General features: G+C 42.2%; 1 protein-coding gene across 16 annotated transcripts in view, besides 1 other annotated feature; it reads left to right on the top strand.

The window, feature by feature from the left end:
- The window catches only part of SORCS1 (sortilin related VPS10 domain containing receptor 1), a 607,476-nt gene that overhangs the window by 225,663 nt on the left and 366,224 nt on the right, over positions 1 to 15,589 (top strand). The window lies entirely within an intron of this gene.
- Positions 12,537 to 13,736: an enhancer, noted in NCBI's record as "P300/CBP strongly-dependent group 1 enhancer chr10:108701498-108702697 (GRCh37/hg19 assembly coordinates)". NCBI's record gives its function as "activates an origin of replication core promoter dependent on BRD2, BRD4, P300/CBP, MED14 and CDK7 cofactors, with strong dependence on P300/CBP, by STARR-seq in HCT116 cells {active_cell/tissue: HCT116}" and the evidence as "EXISTENCE:reporter gene assay evidence [ECO:0000049][PMID:35650434]".

The following is a 15,589-nucleotide window of genomic DNA, read 5'->3' as shown; positions in this document are numbered from 1 at the left end:
GGCTTGCTCTGCCCACTTAGCCCATCAGGCTGCACTCAGCTCATACTACTGGTTGATATCTCATGCCTGCCAAGGGCAAGCCAGGTGCGCCAGCTGCTGTGATGGGGTGGGCAGCTCCAGCATTGGCTCTGTGCAAGGCTGTGGCTGGACCAGGTGTATGACAAGGGGCCTCCGCCTTGGGCGCTGGTGTCTGGACGAGGGGAATGCGGTGGCGCCTTAAAAACTCGGGGACACCAGCAATCATGGAACTGCAAAGGGGGTGTTACAGCATAACACAGCCCTGGCTTGGGGAGCCGAGGTCTAGGCCCCCAGAAGGGTCATAGCTCTTCTCTCCTTCCCACCAGCCACAGTGCAGCAAACAGGGTGGGGGTGGGTTTCACCTCATTCGTGTTACAGCTCGTTCAGTCCCACTGCTCTGCTCTAGCCCATGCCTCCTAGGCTGGCCCAGCGCCACTGCTACTTCCCGTTGTGTGGGGCAGCTGCCTGGCGCCAACAGAGGACAGGAAGGCTACAGTATTACAGCTCCTTTCTCACTCGCTGTTGGGTGGGTCCCAGGTTCTTGTCCTGCATCCAAGAAGAGTTTTATTGAGTGACGGAACAGCTCTCAGTGGAGAGGAGACCCAAAGTGGGTAGTCCCTACCAGAAGGCGGGTAGTCCCAACGTGTGGCTGAGGGCAGGGTTTTTATAGGCTCAAAATGGGGGAGGTGCAGGCCGTAGGTAGAAAGAGAAAAACATATTGGGTCTCGGAGGAGCTTCCCATCCATGATTTTAGACCCATGGTAGCCCAACTGCCCAGTCATGCTGGTATTCAAGGAGCTCCTCTACGCTAAGGGATTTGTACCTATTCATTTGAAAAATTATTGTGATAGTAGTAGAAGGCCAACAAATTCCTAGGCAGATAGGGACAAGCCCCCAATGAAACCCAACCTTCAAGCCACAAGACAGCCTGAAGCCTGAAAACTAAGCTTCCAGTTCTGGATATAGTCCCTGGTTACAGGGATGTAACTGAAAGTGTGGGAAGTTTGGTAGGGGACTTAATAAAAGTATAATTTTTTGTGCATTAAGGAGCCCGCACCTACTATATTGCTTCAATTCTGTAACCCTTCATCAGAATCTCTGTGACTCTGAGCAACTTCATACTTCCCTGATAGATTTCTCTAATGGATCTCCATGTATAAGAGTAAAAGCCAGCATTTTTTTCTGCAGTGCATTTTCCATATAAAGTATAGTCTGCATATTAGAAATTTAATAGATAATGCAGTTTTGTCTCACTGGGACAGAGGCTTACGCAGTCATAACTCTCCACCTGCACAGTGGAAAGAACATGCCTGCAGGGCCTGAGGAGCAGGTTGCCCTAGACTGTGGAAGCTCAGGTTCAGTATGCTTTTCTCTCCATGAAGGGGCATTGTTACTGATGGCCCAGTCTAAGAAGAATGTCCTTTTCAAACTTAGTGGAAAGGGTTAATTTAAAAAATGGCATCACATCCCATTAGTATCAGGCTTCCCTTCTGAAGGAGCAGTCTACTTGGGTGAAATCTGGGAAAGTGTGGCGCGAATGACCTGCTGGCTTCTCAATCTTAAGATGAATTTCACTGAAGGATGCATACTGTCATGCACTGCGTAATGCCATTTCAGTCAATGACACCATATACAATAGTGGTCCCATAAAATTATACTGTATTTTTCCTGTATCTCTTTTGTTTAGACATATTTAGATACACAAATACCATGATGTTACAATTGCCCACAGTGTTCAACACAGTAACATGCTGTATGGATTTGCAGTCTTGGAACAATAGGGTGTACCTTATGCCTACATAAGTAGTATGCTATACCTTCGAGGTTTGTGTAAGTATACTGTATTATGTTCACACAATGAGAAACTCACCTAAGGTCATGTTTCTCCGAATTCATCCACCTCATTAAGTGATACATGACTATATATATATACATATAGTCAGCCTTCCCTATCTGTGGGTTTTAGATCTGTTAATTCAACCCATCTTGGATCAAAACTGTTGGGGGAAAAAAATTTAAAAACAACACAACACTATCACCAATACAAGTAAAAAAATACAGTATAGCAATTATTTACATAATATTTATATTTTATTTGGTGTTACAAGTAATCTGGGAATGATTTTAAATATACCAAGGAGAAGGTCAGTAAGTCATATGCAACTACTACACCATCTTCTATCAGGAATTTGAGCATCTGCGGATTTTAGTATTCATGGGGGATTCTGGAAAAAATCCCCTCCAGGTACTGAGAGATGACCATGCGTATACACACACGCATGCACACACACACACACACACACACACACACACACTATACCCACAGATACATAATATATTTCTAAAATATACGCCTAATAGTCATTTGCCATATGTCATATACTGGTGTGACTACTTCAGGTATGTGATATATTAGAAACTGGTAATTTTATTTATTTTAAATTATTATTATTATTAGTAGTAGTAGTAGTATTTGAGACAGAATCTCACCCTGTCACCCAGGCTGGAGTGCAGTGGCATGATCACAGCTTACTACAGCCTCAAACACCCAGATAAAAGTGATCTTCCCACCTTAGCCTCCCAAGTAGCTGGGACTACAAATATTTGCGACTACCCTAGGCTAATTTTTTATTATTATTATTTTGATAGAGACAGGGTCCCACTTTGTTACTCAAACTGGTTTTGAGCTCCTGGGTTCAAGTAACCCTCCCACCTCAGCCTCCCAAACTCTCAGGATTACAAGCATGAGCCACCACGCCTGGTCATTTTAGTACTTTAATAGGAATGACACATACCTTACTGAAAATGTAATTTAGAAAACAGAGAATAAGGTGGAAAAATATGTATAATACTTCATATTATAATATATAATATAACATAGTATAATATAATATAATATAATATAATATAATATATAATGTGTCATATATGAAACCTCGGTAGGACTTTTGAACAGCTCACAGTGCCCGTACTCAAGAGTTTAGGAAACCTCCATAGGTATGTTAATACAGAGGAGGAGTGGGACAGGCCTGGGTGGGTAGAGGACAGGGCTCAGGAAGAGAAAGCCTTATGGTTCTGAGTTGTCTAGCACAGCCTTGCTTGAGGGAAACTAGGTGGCCTAGCACAAACTGACTTTCTCCTGCACCAGCTCATACTGTTACCAAAACACCAGGGATCCAATCTCAGCCCTTCTGGTCACTGCACAGAAAGCCAATCACTGAGACAACTATTATTGCCAAGGAAGAAGGCTTTAACCGGGTGCTAGAGCTGAGGAGATGGGAGATGAGTCTCAAATCCATCTCCCTGACTCACTAAAGTTAGGGGTTTAACATAGCAGGGAAGAAATGTAACTGTGTTGGAAAACAGGAACTAGGGAAGGGTAAGGAGATAAAATGAGAGGCCTGGCATCTCATTGTCTGAATGCAATGAGCTAGTGAGTTTTACTTCTTTGATACTTTTTGAGAGGCTTCCAGGGCCTTTCCTGAGGAGGGAACTCAGATGAAACAAATGTTAAGTTTCAAGCTTTAAGACAGGAAGGGCCAATTCCTATTTTTATCCAAAAGAAGTGTCTATGGGACTATTGGGGAGGTTTCAGTACTTTATGCTCAGAAAACCTGCCTATGCCAAAAATTGGGGACTATGACCTCAGGCAAGTCTTAGACATCTGCAAGGTACCCATGGCCCCAAGTACAAGACTTAGCATATAGCTAGTGCTCAGTAACTGTGTTTTTAAACAGAGCAGTGAGCACAACAGACTTCATGGTCATCCAAAGATAATTTTATTATATTGTATTTTATTTCTTTTATTTATTCAACAGTGTTGTATTGATTAACTCCTTTATGCCTTGGAATGATCTGGTCCAGTGAGGGGAAGGTGTGTGTGTACCTAGATCAACAGCAGATAGGCTCTGTCCTCCAGGTGTTCCGTTTTTTTTTTTTTTTTTCAGAGACGGAGTCTTGCTCTGTCACCCAGGCTGGAGTGCAGTGGCGTGATCTCGGCTCACTGCAAGCTCTGCCTCCTGGGTTCACCCGCCATTCTCTTGCTTCAGCCTCCCTAGTAGCTGAGACTACAGATGCCCGCCACCATGCCTGGCTAATTTTTGTATTTTTAGTAGAGACGGGGTTTCACCATGTTAGCCAGGATGGTCTCGATCTCCTGACCTCGTGATCCACCCACCTCGGCCTCCCAAAGTGCTGGGATTACAGGCGTTAACCACCGTGCCCGGCCAGATGTTCCTTTTTAGAGGGGGACAAAGATCTGTGGACAGTCAAGGTGAGAGGGAAATACACTTGCATGTATCCCTCCTTATGTAATTGTATTGAATAAGTTATTGAAGCAGCCGCCCGGAAATGCCAGATCCCAGAATAAGACAGATATAATGTAAATAGACTTTCACACAACCATAAGTGTTGTAATAAAAATATGAGATAAGTGTTGCTTCTTTACTTTCCTCATGTGGATATTTTCTCTTCGTAACTCATCTTTGAGTCCTTGAACCCAACACCTTGCTCGTTTAGTGATAATAATGATAATGGTAATAATGACAATACTGGAAACCTTTATTGGGTATTCACTGTGTGTCTGGCATGATGCTGAGTGTTAGACATGTGTTATTACATCCTCTTAATTCATTTTTATGGTGTGCCCAAGGTCGCACAATTAGCAAGTAGTAGCCTATAGACTTACAGACATGTTACTGAACTCCATACGTTCATTGCTTATCTGTCTTCCAGAGCTCTGCCTTCTGGTGGATCTTTCTATACCCAAACAAGCAACAGGATATTTTATAGAAATATATGTGTATATTATTATATAATATCTATATATGTATTGTGTGTATATATATACACACACAGACACACACACGTACAAACACCATATACAGAGTGAATAGGGTTTTCTACGTGCTGTAACATTCTGAGCAGCAATTGCCTTACTCCTGAAAAATACTGGGTGACAGAGAAATGGCTTCTTGTCCAACAAGTAGATACGTGCACTTTTCAATTGAGCCCTTATTCTTTACAAGTTTTAGCAGCTGAAGAGTCAGAAAGGGGCAACTGGCAAATGCCCTTGAGGTGGTAGGGTAGTCAAGAGGCCAAGAGGCTGTTGACCTTATAGTGATGTCCTAGGGCTGTAAGCCTTGCTGGATATCAACAAACCAGGCAAGACAGAACGAGATGTCACTGTACCAAATTAATGAGCTTTTGCTCCCGGTTGGTCTTGTCATTGATTACACATTAATCTTGGAGCAAGTTGGTGATTTTTGTTTCGTTTTGTGTTGTTCTTCACTCAGGGAGTCAAAATGAGAGGAAAGGGGGATGATTTGATGCAGAACAATTCACTGCACCTTAAAATTGTCTTCACTTTATAGTGGATTAAGCTTTGAGAATTGGAGAGCGTGGTGGTTTTATCATATTGGTACAAGATAAGCTTAAAGGTTGAGATAGATAAATTGTCAAAATCTAGAATATGGTACTTCTGAGAAGAAATATATTCATCTTTTTTTTCCCTGTTATACTAGGGCAATCAGTACTCTGTTGAGAGAGGCTTAGCTGGTGAGAAAGCCCTAGGCAATTCTGGAAGGAGCTGGAAGTCTACTCTCTTAAAGCAGCACACAACCTGCAGTGTCTGTCTATCTTAGAGGTTGCCTGACATGGCTGACTTCTCAAATTCAGTGTCCTGTTCTCAGATCCACATGGGACACAAGCAGGCTTCTAAGTAGGTCTCCAGAAGTATGTACTTCTCAAACAGCAAAACCTGCTTTTGGAGGGGCACAAAGCAAGTGCAATTTAAGGAGAGAGAATGTGTTAGGCTTTTGATGTGATTCTGTATTGGTAGCCAGCCCTGTCCCATTTTCTCAGGAGACACAATTTCGTGGCCATTACGCATCATGATTATCAAGAGAAGTTCCCCAGTAGTGTTTGTGAATAATGGCCTTGAGTCAGAGGCTGTGTAGGGATGAGGGCAGCCTGTGCTCTCTGGAGAACTCCCTAGGTTCAGGCTGGAGGGAACTCACCTGTGTGTTTGTTAGCCCTCTGCAAGCCCTGTGAGTGAGTCCCAACGCCTCCCTTCTCCTCCACGCCACGTCCAGGGGAAGAGCAGTGGGTGGCTTGGGTCAGATTGTTAGTCCCTGCTTTGAAAGATGTTTTGCTACCAAATCCAGTTTTCACTCTGCTACAAACACAAGGCTATATGCACATCCTAAAAAGAAAAAATAATAATAATAAAACCAGAGTGTGATAACTTCCAGGCAAGAGAATCCTTCATGTCACACAGATTTAATGATGCTGTTCACACCTGTGCGTACAAATGTTTAGTACCTCTCCAGAGTCTAAGGGAGCTAGTCAAGCGTTCAGGCAGGATCCGGAGGTGTTCTGGATTGTGGCTTTTTGGATTCTAGATTCTTTTGTGTTTTGTAACTCCCATTCCATATTTGTGTCACTTGGAGCTGGTTGTGGTTCCTGAACTTACACAATTAAAATTCTTTTTTTTTTTGGATACAGAGTCTTTCTCTGTCTCCTAGGTTGAAGTGCAGTGGCGTGATCTCAGCTTACTGCAAGCTCCGCCTCCCAGGTTCATGCCATTCTCCTGCCTCAGCCTCCAGAGTAGCTGGGACTACAGGCGCCTGCCACCACGCCCAGCTAATTTTTTTTGTATTTTTAGTAGAGACGCGGTTTCACCATGTTAGCCAGGATGGTCTCAATCTCCTGACCTTGTGATCTGCCTGTCTCAGCCTCCCAAAGTGCTGGGATTACAGGCGTGAGGCACTGCGCCCGGCCTACAGTTAATTTTTTTTTTTTTTTAAGAAACAGGGTCTTGCTCTGTCACTGAGGCAGTGGAATAATCATAGCTCACTGCAGCCACAAGCAGTCCTCCAGCCTCAGCCTCCCAAGTAACTGGTACTACAGGTACACACCACTGTGCCAGATTAATTTTTAAATTTTTTTGTAGAGATGGGGCCTCACCTTGTTGCCCAGACTGGTCTTGGACCCCTGGCTTCAAGCAGTCCCCTTAACTCAGCCTCCTAAAGCACTGGGATTACAGACGTGAGCCACTCTACCCTGCCTACATTTATTTTACTAAACTATGTTTTTTTAAAAAAAATCACAAAAGTAATGTATGCTCATTACAATGAGCCAGAAAAAACACAGATACATTTTTTTTTTTTCAAAAAACTGTAAATAGTTTCTTACATACCACCTAGATTCAGCTTTCCTGATATCTGTAGTGGTGAGTTATTGTTTTTTTTCTCTTCATATCTTTGTGACTCAACTAAAAAGTGTCAACAGATATATACATACCATAGGTCTACTTTTTCATTTGTTTAAGAAAATAGAAGTATACTATTCACTGGATTATGACAACCTGATTTATTTCACTTACCAATGACTCTTGGGTGTCTATCCAGATGAATGCATTGAAAAAAATGGGCCAGGCTTGTAAGCATCCCAGAGTATGCATATTGTACAGTATATCGAATTAAACAACTGCATGCTTAATTAACTTATGTATTGCTTCCTACATACCAAGAAGTGTTTTCAGTTCTTTTATCCTTTTAACAACCCCATAAAATAGGTACTGTTTGTAGCTCTAGTTTCTTTTTCTCTTTTTTTTTTTTGAGATGGAGTTTCACTCTTGTGAAGAGTGATGGCATGTTCTCGGCTCACTGCAACCTCTGCCTCTCTCTGGTTCAAGCAATTCTCCTGCCTCAATCTCTTGAGTAGCTGGGATTGCAGGTGCCTGCCACCAGGCCCGGCTAATTTTTTTGTATTTTTAGTAGAGACAGGGTTTCACCATGTTGGCCAGGCTAGTCTTGAACTCCTGACCTCAGGTGATCTGCCCACCTTGGCCTCCCAAAGTGCTGGGATTACAGGCGTGAGCCACCGCGCCCAGCCTGTAGCTCCAGTTTCTAGATGAGAGAAGTAAGACTTAGAAAGATTTAGTAGCATGCTTAATGGTCTGACAGCCAGCTAGTCAGACAGAGCTGGCTCCTGACTATTCTCTGAATGCCTGTGCTACACTGCTTCTCCATTACCTTTCCGATAGATCTTTAGTTCATTTCGTCAAGAGTTGTTACTACACACAGTGCTCCGATAAACATATCTGTAAACATATCCTTTTACTTTGGTAATTTTACCTTTATAAAGTACAATAGAATTCTTAAGATGATATTGTTGTATCAAAAATGAATGCATTTGTATTGTAAATGATACTCGAGATTACATTCCAAGAAGGTTGCAACAAATCATACACGTGCAAGCAATAATAGTTTGCAGATTTCCCCAGGCTTTCATCAGGACTGGAATTTTCAATACGTAACTTTTAAATCAGTATTTTGGATGAAAGTGATGTCTTGATCTCAGTGTATTTTAATGGGTATTTTCCTGACCACAAGTGATGGTGATCATCTTTTCATATGTGTATTGGACTGTGGCACTGTGGACCTCTCTCTTTCTCCCTCACTCCTCAGGCAAAAATAATTGCTTCTTTCTCATTAATCTTGTAGTGAATTATGTATCTTTGACTTATAATGGTTATCAGATGTATATTTATTTTGTTCAACAAACATCTCTTAGACCTACCTGTATGCCATGCCAAGCAGTGTACTAGATAGTCAGTGGGAATAAGCATATAAGTAAATAATTGTTCCTGTCCTACAGAAACCCCAAATCTAGTTAAGAGCAGACTTTCAGTGGATAGTTACAGAAGTGTGCTAAATGCAGGGTAAAATGTATGCATAAGTTATTGTGATGTTTGTCTGTTTCCATACTGTATTATTAGTCTGTTCCCGTGCTGCTAATAAAGACATACCTGATACTGGGTAATTTATAAAGGAAAGAGGTTTAATTGACTCACAGTTCCACAGTGCTGGGGAGGCCCCACAGTCATGGTGTAAAATGATGGAAGAGCAAAGCCACGTCTTACATGGCAACAGGCGAGAGAGTTTGTGCAGGGAACTCCCATTTATAAAACCATCAGATCTCGTGAGACTTACACACTAACATGAAAATAGTATGGGGGAAGACCCGCTCCCATGATTCAATTACCTCCCACCAAATCCTTCCCTTGATATGTGGGAATTATGGGGGCTACAATTCAAGACAAGATTTGGGTAGGGACACAGCCAAACCATATCACATACTAACCTGGAAATCCAAAGACTATGACCATGTCTTATTTTCATTTGGTTCATACCCAAAATAGAACTGGTCTTATTAAGTATCATTAAATGCTTTTTGCTTTGAAGAGTATGTTATGAAATGATTTAGTGTCACTGAAAGCCAGGCCTATGTCATACACTTGTTTCTATCCTAAATTTTTAACCTACTGCCTTATGTGTAGGTGATACAGTTCTGAATAATGTGCTACGTGACCTCGAGAAATTCCATGACATTGCTGTCAAAGAAGAAGAGCATAACCAGTGCCAAGTGGGAAAAGCCCAGAGATTCAAGGCAGGAATCTGTTATTTCCACAGAGCTCTAGGCATTCCTGTTCAGCCCCCTTGATTTTAACAAAATCTTAGAACTCACCATGTGAAAGCTCGTTCTATAAGGATCTGCATGTATTCATCCAAAAGATGCTATAGACCTTCCTGAGATGTGTGAGACCATCTGTGAGAGTCTGGCCTCAGCTTGCACCCCTGCTCTCCTTGTTTGCCTCAGTGATTGACACCCTGCTGAGTTCCCCACTTTTCCTTTTAGCAAGTAATAGATGAAATACACAGAAAGCAAACACTGTCCTGAGGTCCTAATAACTTTGCCAATATAAGCTGAGAAAGCAAAGGCAAAAAATTTTACTAGAGAAAGCAAAGCAACTGACATTCTGATATCAAACCTGGTTATAGATTCAGGAAGCATTTAGAATATTAATTCCCATTTTAGTACATTGGTATGAACACCACGTGGTAAAATTCTACATCTGTGAAGTCCCTTGAGATACAGATCACCACCATCCAGTTACCTTCCACATCCTCATAGTTCCTCAGAAGGCTTTCCTATGTATTTACTGTTTTGGATTGTCCTTTTATGTCAAAATTTAAGCTTAATAAGCAATCAAACAATGAAAATTAAGTGCTATTTGAGTATAGTGTCCTGTATTGGGCACAAAGAAAGTCAGAAGATCCTCAGAACACAATTTCATACCTTCTAGGAACACAAAGTCTCTTTATTCTTTCAGCATGACCAGATCCTCCATATTTTTCAGGTCATAATCCAAATACCAACTTCTTTTTAAGAAGCCATTCGTATCTATACTATTAAAAGTAGGCTTGGCTGGACATGGTGGCTCACACCTGTAATCCCAGCACTTTGGGAGGCCGAGGCAGGTAGATCACTTGAGGCTAGGAGTTCAAGACCAGCCTGGCCAACATGGTGAAACCTTGTCTCTACTAAAAATACAAAAAAATTAGCTGGGTGTGGTGGCTCATGCCTGTAATCCCAGCCTCTCGGGAGTTTGAGGCAGGAGAATTGCTTGAACCCGGGAGCCAGAGGTTGCAGTGAGCCAAGATCACATCACTGCATGTCAGCCTGAGTGACAGAGCGAGACTCCATCTCCAAAAAAAAAAAAAAAAAAAAAAAAAAAAGAAGGCTCTTTCTTGCTTCTTTCTACCATAGCTCTCTTTGTTTCTTTCATTCACTACATGTGTCATGATCTAGAATGATTTTATTCATTACTTCTCTATTGTCTGATGCCACCATTAAAATATAAACTCGCTGAGGGCAGAGACCTTGTCTGTCTTATTTTCTGTGTCCAGGAAATTGCCTGGCACAAAGGTATTCAGGTGAAATTTGGCAAATTAATTGAATGTATAAATACGTACATACATAGATCCATGCTAACTGGTATAAATCCAGATACAAAGAAGATCATATTGTTGTCCTTAAGTAATTTGCAGCCTGTTGGGGAGACAGATAAATACATGAGAGATTATGTCAGTATGTCAAGTGCCATAGTAGAAGTACCATAGGTTCTCTGGGTGGGGAAGGAAGAGCTTTCTGGAGGAGAAGAGACCTGAACTGAATCCAAAGAAGGAGTAGGAATTAGACTAGTAAGGGAGGCTGATTATTTAGTGAGTACATCCCATATTTCAGGCGCCTCTAGGTGCTGGCAGCATGGCTTATTGAGGAAATTGCACTAAATCACAATACAGTCTGTGTGTGCAATTGGTCAGTTCTGTGCTAAGTATTCTGACATTTATCCCAGAGGAACTAATGCATCTTTGAAAGGTCTGGGGCAAGTAAAAGGGTTGATGAGATATGAATTTCACACACAAAAAATTACCTTGGTGTCATGTTATGGATTCACCTGGCAAAGAACAAAACTGGTGACCATGAACAAAGTAGTCAGTGAAACAAGAAGTAAGAGATGAGAAGGGGCCAACCTTTTTAGAGAGTGGAAAAATGGAGTATGACATATAGAGTGTGGGGGTGATTTTAATAGATTTTGTAAGGGAAAGAAGCACAGGACCAGTTGTTGGGTGAGTTAGAAGGTGAAAGGGAGAAACATATCTGCAATGACTTTCTCACTTTTGTCTTGGACATTCCAGAGGATGGTGAGATTATTTTCTAGGAGAAGACGGAGGAAGACAATTTTGGAATGGGAGATGGGGATGAGGTGAAGAGACAATTAATTAATTAATTAATTTTTTGAGATGGAGTCTCACTCTGTTGCCTAGGCTGGAGTCCAGTGGCACGATCTCGGCTCACTGCAAGCTCTGCCTCCCGGGTTCACGCCATTCTCCTGCCTCAGCCTCCCGAGTAGCTGGGACTACAGGCACCTGCCACCATGCCCGGCTATTTTTTTTTTGTATTTTTAGTAGAGATGGGGTTTCACAGTGTTAGCCGGGATGGTCTTGATCTCCTGACCTCATGATCCGGCCACCTCGGCCTCCCAAAGCGCTGGGATTACAGGTGTGAGCCACTGCACCTGGCCTATTAATTTATTTTTTAACAGATTGAGGTTGAGATAGAGTTAGACAACTCAAATGGAAATTTTCAGATAATTAAAGTATACATGGCCTTGGAGTCCAGGCAGAAGGACTGATGTGAAGACATATTTGGAAGGCATGAGCTCAAGCAGTAGAAGCTGTGTTCATAGGAACCTAGGGAGAGTGTGCAGAAGAAAATGAGAGAAAAACTGAGGAGATCCCCAGTTCCTAGACATACAGAAGTCTGAGGAGGAGTTGGAGTTGCTGCTGCTTGAAAGTTGGAAGAAAAATTAGGCAGAGGAACAAGTGAGAAGAACATTAAACACCACAGATAGTTAAGTAAGAAAAATATGTGTGAAGTAGCCACCAAATTTATCAATGCAGAAGACATTGGCTCAGCTGAAGTGCCGGAGGGAAGGTTGGGTAACAGGTGGCTGAGAAGGTACATCTGTCTGTCCTAGTGATGCCCACTGAGCACCTCTGACTAGTGGATGAGCAGTCAGGGAATAGGGACAGGATATGAAGACAGCTCTCTCAAGAAGGAGCTGTGAAGGGAAATAAAAGGAAGAGACGTGATTTTGTAGAAAGGAGGTGACAGACTAAAGGAACATTTTCCTTTCTTTAAGTGAGAACAAACCTGGCCATGTTTACATTTCCCAGGGAGAAATCAGTGAAAAGAGACTGAAAATATAGAAAAATTAGTGGAGAATAGAACTGATAGAGAACTGATAGAGAATTGAGTGGTAGAGAAGGTATGGAATCCAAGGTCAGGTGGAGGAATTATCCAGTCGTAGTAGATCAGGGAGGGCAAGGGGTGGACCGAGGGGAGCTTTCCTTTTACCAAGAGAGGAGGCAAGGATGCCAGGATAGGGACTCCCACAAATCAGCTTTCCTGAGCCATGTGGGTTAAGGGGTGTCCTGCCATTTGGTTGTATGTTGAGTGGGAGATGGACGTGAGATGGGACTTGACATTTTGGAAGAGTCACTGAGAAGACAGGAGAGGGACAGCTCAGGAGCTGGCATGCACTGTGCTGAATAATGCTGAGATCCAGATGAAGCCACACCCTGGGGTCAGCATGACTGTGCTTTTTTTGTTCCAGTGAGCCTTGTGTAACACACAAGAAGGCATTTGGTTATGATTCCAGGAGGAAGGACAAGAGGTTGGGGAACTGAGGGGCTTGAGTGGTAGATAAGAGGTCTTGACCAAATAGAGAAAGAAGAAAGGGAAGCCGGAGGTGGGAGGAGGACAAACAGTGAAACAGTAGGACCTTCGATCCATTCATATTTAAGAGCCTGAAGAACACTTAAAAAATAATACCCAGAGGAGTGTGAATTTTTGTATTATAAAACTTGGAACATGTCTTGTCCCCGGGGAACTCTGTGAATGGGAACTGGTCAGAGCAGGTGGAGTTAATCAGAAAAGCCTTTTATAAAAGCTACTTTTAAGAAATTCACTCAGCTCTCTAGGAGAAGGCACTGCTATTTTTCTGCATTTATATGGAACAACTAGATCTACTTGTCAATTCCCCCCACATCCCTGAGTTATTTGTGAGTGACAACCCACCTCCACACCTTTGGGGAACACTAAGCAGCCTTCTCCATCCTGGTTATGGGAGATTTTCTCCAGGCAACTGTCTATTCCCAGAACTAAGACTTACAGATTAACCACAACCGGCAGTCCCTGTGATACCATTGTCAACACAGAGTGAGTCGCTCAGATATTAGGCTGAAGTAATACTGGTTTTCTTGCTAGTCACCATTTTTTACCCTGCTCCTTACTCTGAAGCCCATTCCAAAATTTCTTTTCCTTTTATAGTTAAAAATATATTTTTTAGAGTTTGGTTTTCTGGAGTCTAAGTTGACCTTACTTTGGCTTCTCCAATCCCTCTCCTACTGGGAGCCACATTCCTTGGTATTGTTCATTTCACTTACTAAAATTCTCAATAAAGGAAGGGTATTGTGTGTTCTAGCCACGGTGAACTACTTATAGGTTCTGCCAAGGCAACACGTGCCCTTGGAAGGCCATCCATGTCATGGGTCAGCACGTGGGCTTTGGCCTTGGGCTGTCTGGGCAGGAATCCAGGCTCTGTCCATTTACTAGCTCTGAGACTGTGGGGAGATTTTTTTTTTAAGTCTCTGTGCTCCATTTCCTCATCAGAAAAAGTATATTTATCTAATAGGCTTATGGTGACACTGATGTTGAGTGTGGATCACCTACTAAACATACATTAATAATACAACACCAACAGACAAACACAAATCTTGGATCTTGTACTTCTGTGGTCTTTGCTGGGGATGCCTTTCCCCTTCTATTCAATTTGCCTACAAAATAATACTGATAGCCATTTATACTGACAATTTACTATATGCCAGGCATGGCTTCAAGTGCTTTATATGTATTAACAAATTCCCAAAATATTTTTATGAGATTGGTACTATCGTTATACCCTTTTTGTAGACGTGGAAACTGAGGCATAGGGAGGTAACCCGAACAGGGTCATAAAGATACTAAGCAGTAAAGAAGAGATCTGAACCAGTCGAGCTCCAGAGCCCAGGCTTTGAACCCCACAAGGACCATCTTTTGTGGGATCCTTCCCTAGCCATCTCTATCCACACAGAGAATAATTTTTTTTATTATTATTTTTTGAGATGGAGTTTTGTTCTTGTTGCCCAGGCTGGAGTGCAATGGCACAACTTAGGCTCACTGAAACCTCCACCTCTCGGGTTCAAGCAGTTCTCCTGCTTCAGTCTCCCGAGTAGCTGGGATTACAGCCATGTGCCACCATACCCAGTTAATTTTTGTATTTTTAGTTGAGATAGGGTTTCACCATGTTGGCCAGGTTGGTCTGGAACTCCTTACCTCAGGTGATCCACCCACCTTGGCCTCCCAAAGTGCTGGGATTACAGGCGTGAGCCACCATGTCCAGCCAAGCCTACTTTTAATAGTATAGATATGAATGGCTTCTTAAAAAGAAGCCACACAGAGAATAAATTACTGCTCATGTGCTCTGTTTTACATATTTTTCCTTTTGAATGTATTGGTTTGAATTGTAAGCACTTTCTATTCATCTCTTACCTTTACCAGGAACATTTCGAAGGACACATGCTACCTTCTTCATTTTTGTATACCCAACACCAAGTACAGACCTTGGTGCATAGTAGTATGTTCAGTAACAAGAAGCGCCAAGTTAAATGTAATGAGGAAAGGAGATTTTTTAAAAATATGTTATCTGTGTCATCTGTGGGTTTAATTCATATAAAGCATGTCCCATATTAGTTATCACAAGTAATCAATGGTTAACAGAATATAGTTTACTCAAATGTCATGTTTTGCTCTAATCTATTGTCATTGCACTTGAGGGAGGTGACAGATATTAATTTAATTTCAGCAGGTTGCTTGACACTGCTATGCTGAATGTCTGTAATGATGCTTTCGTGAGTGCTGGAAGCTTATCTAATGCTAAAGCAGAGGTACATTTGTTCAAATACAAATGTAATGTCTGGCGCATTGAATTCCCAGTCCCAAGGGCTGCACCTTGTGCTGTCTCCTGACAGTTCACTTTAGGAAACAGGACACAGGTCTCCACTACGGACCTGGCTCAACTTTGAGCAAAGGCCACCAGAGGTATGTGTGGCACTGAAGC

This window comes from Homo sapiens, chromosome 10 (assembly GCF_000001405.40).
Source record: "Homo sapiens chromosome 10, GRCh38.p14 Primary Assembly".
In the NCBI taxonomy this organism is placed as follows: Eukaryota; Metazoa; Chordata; class Mammalia; order Primates; family Hominidae; genus Homo; species Homo sapiens.
The sequence above is the reverse complement of the archived record's forward strand: the minus strand, read 5'-3'. Positions and strand labels throughout refer to the sequence as shown.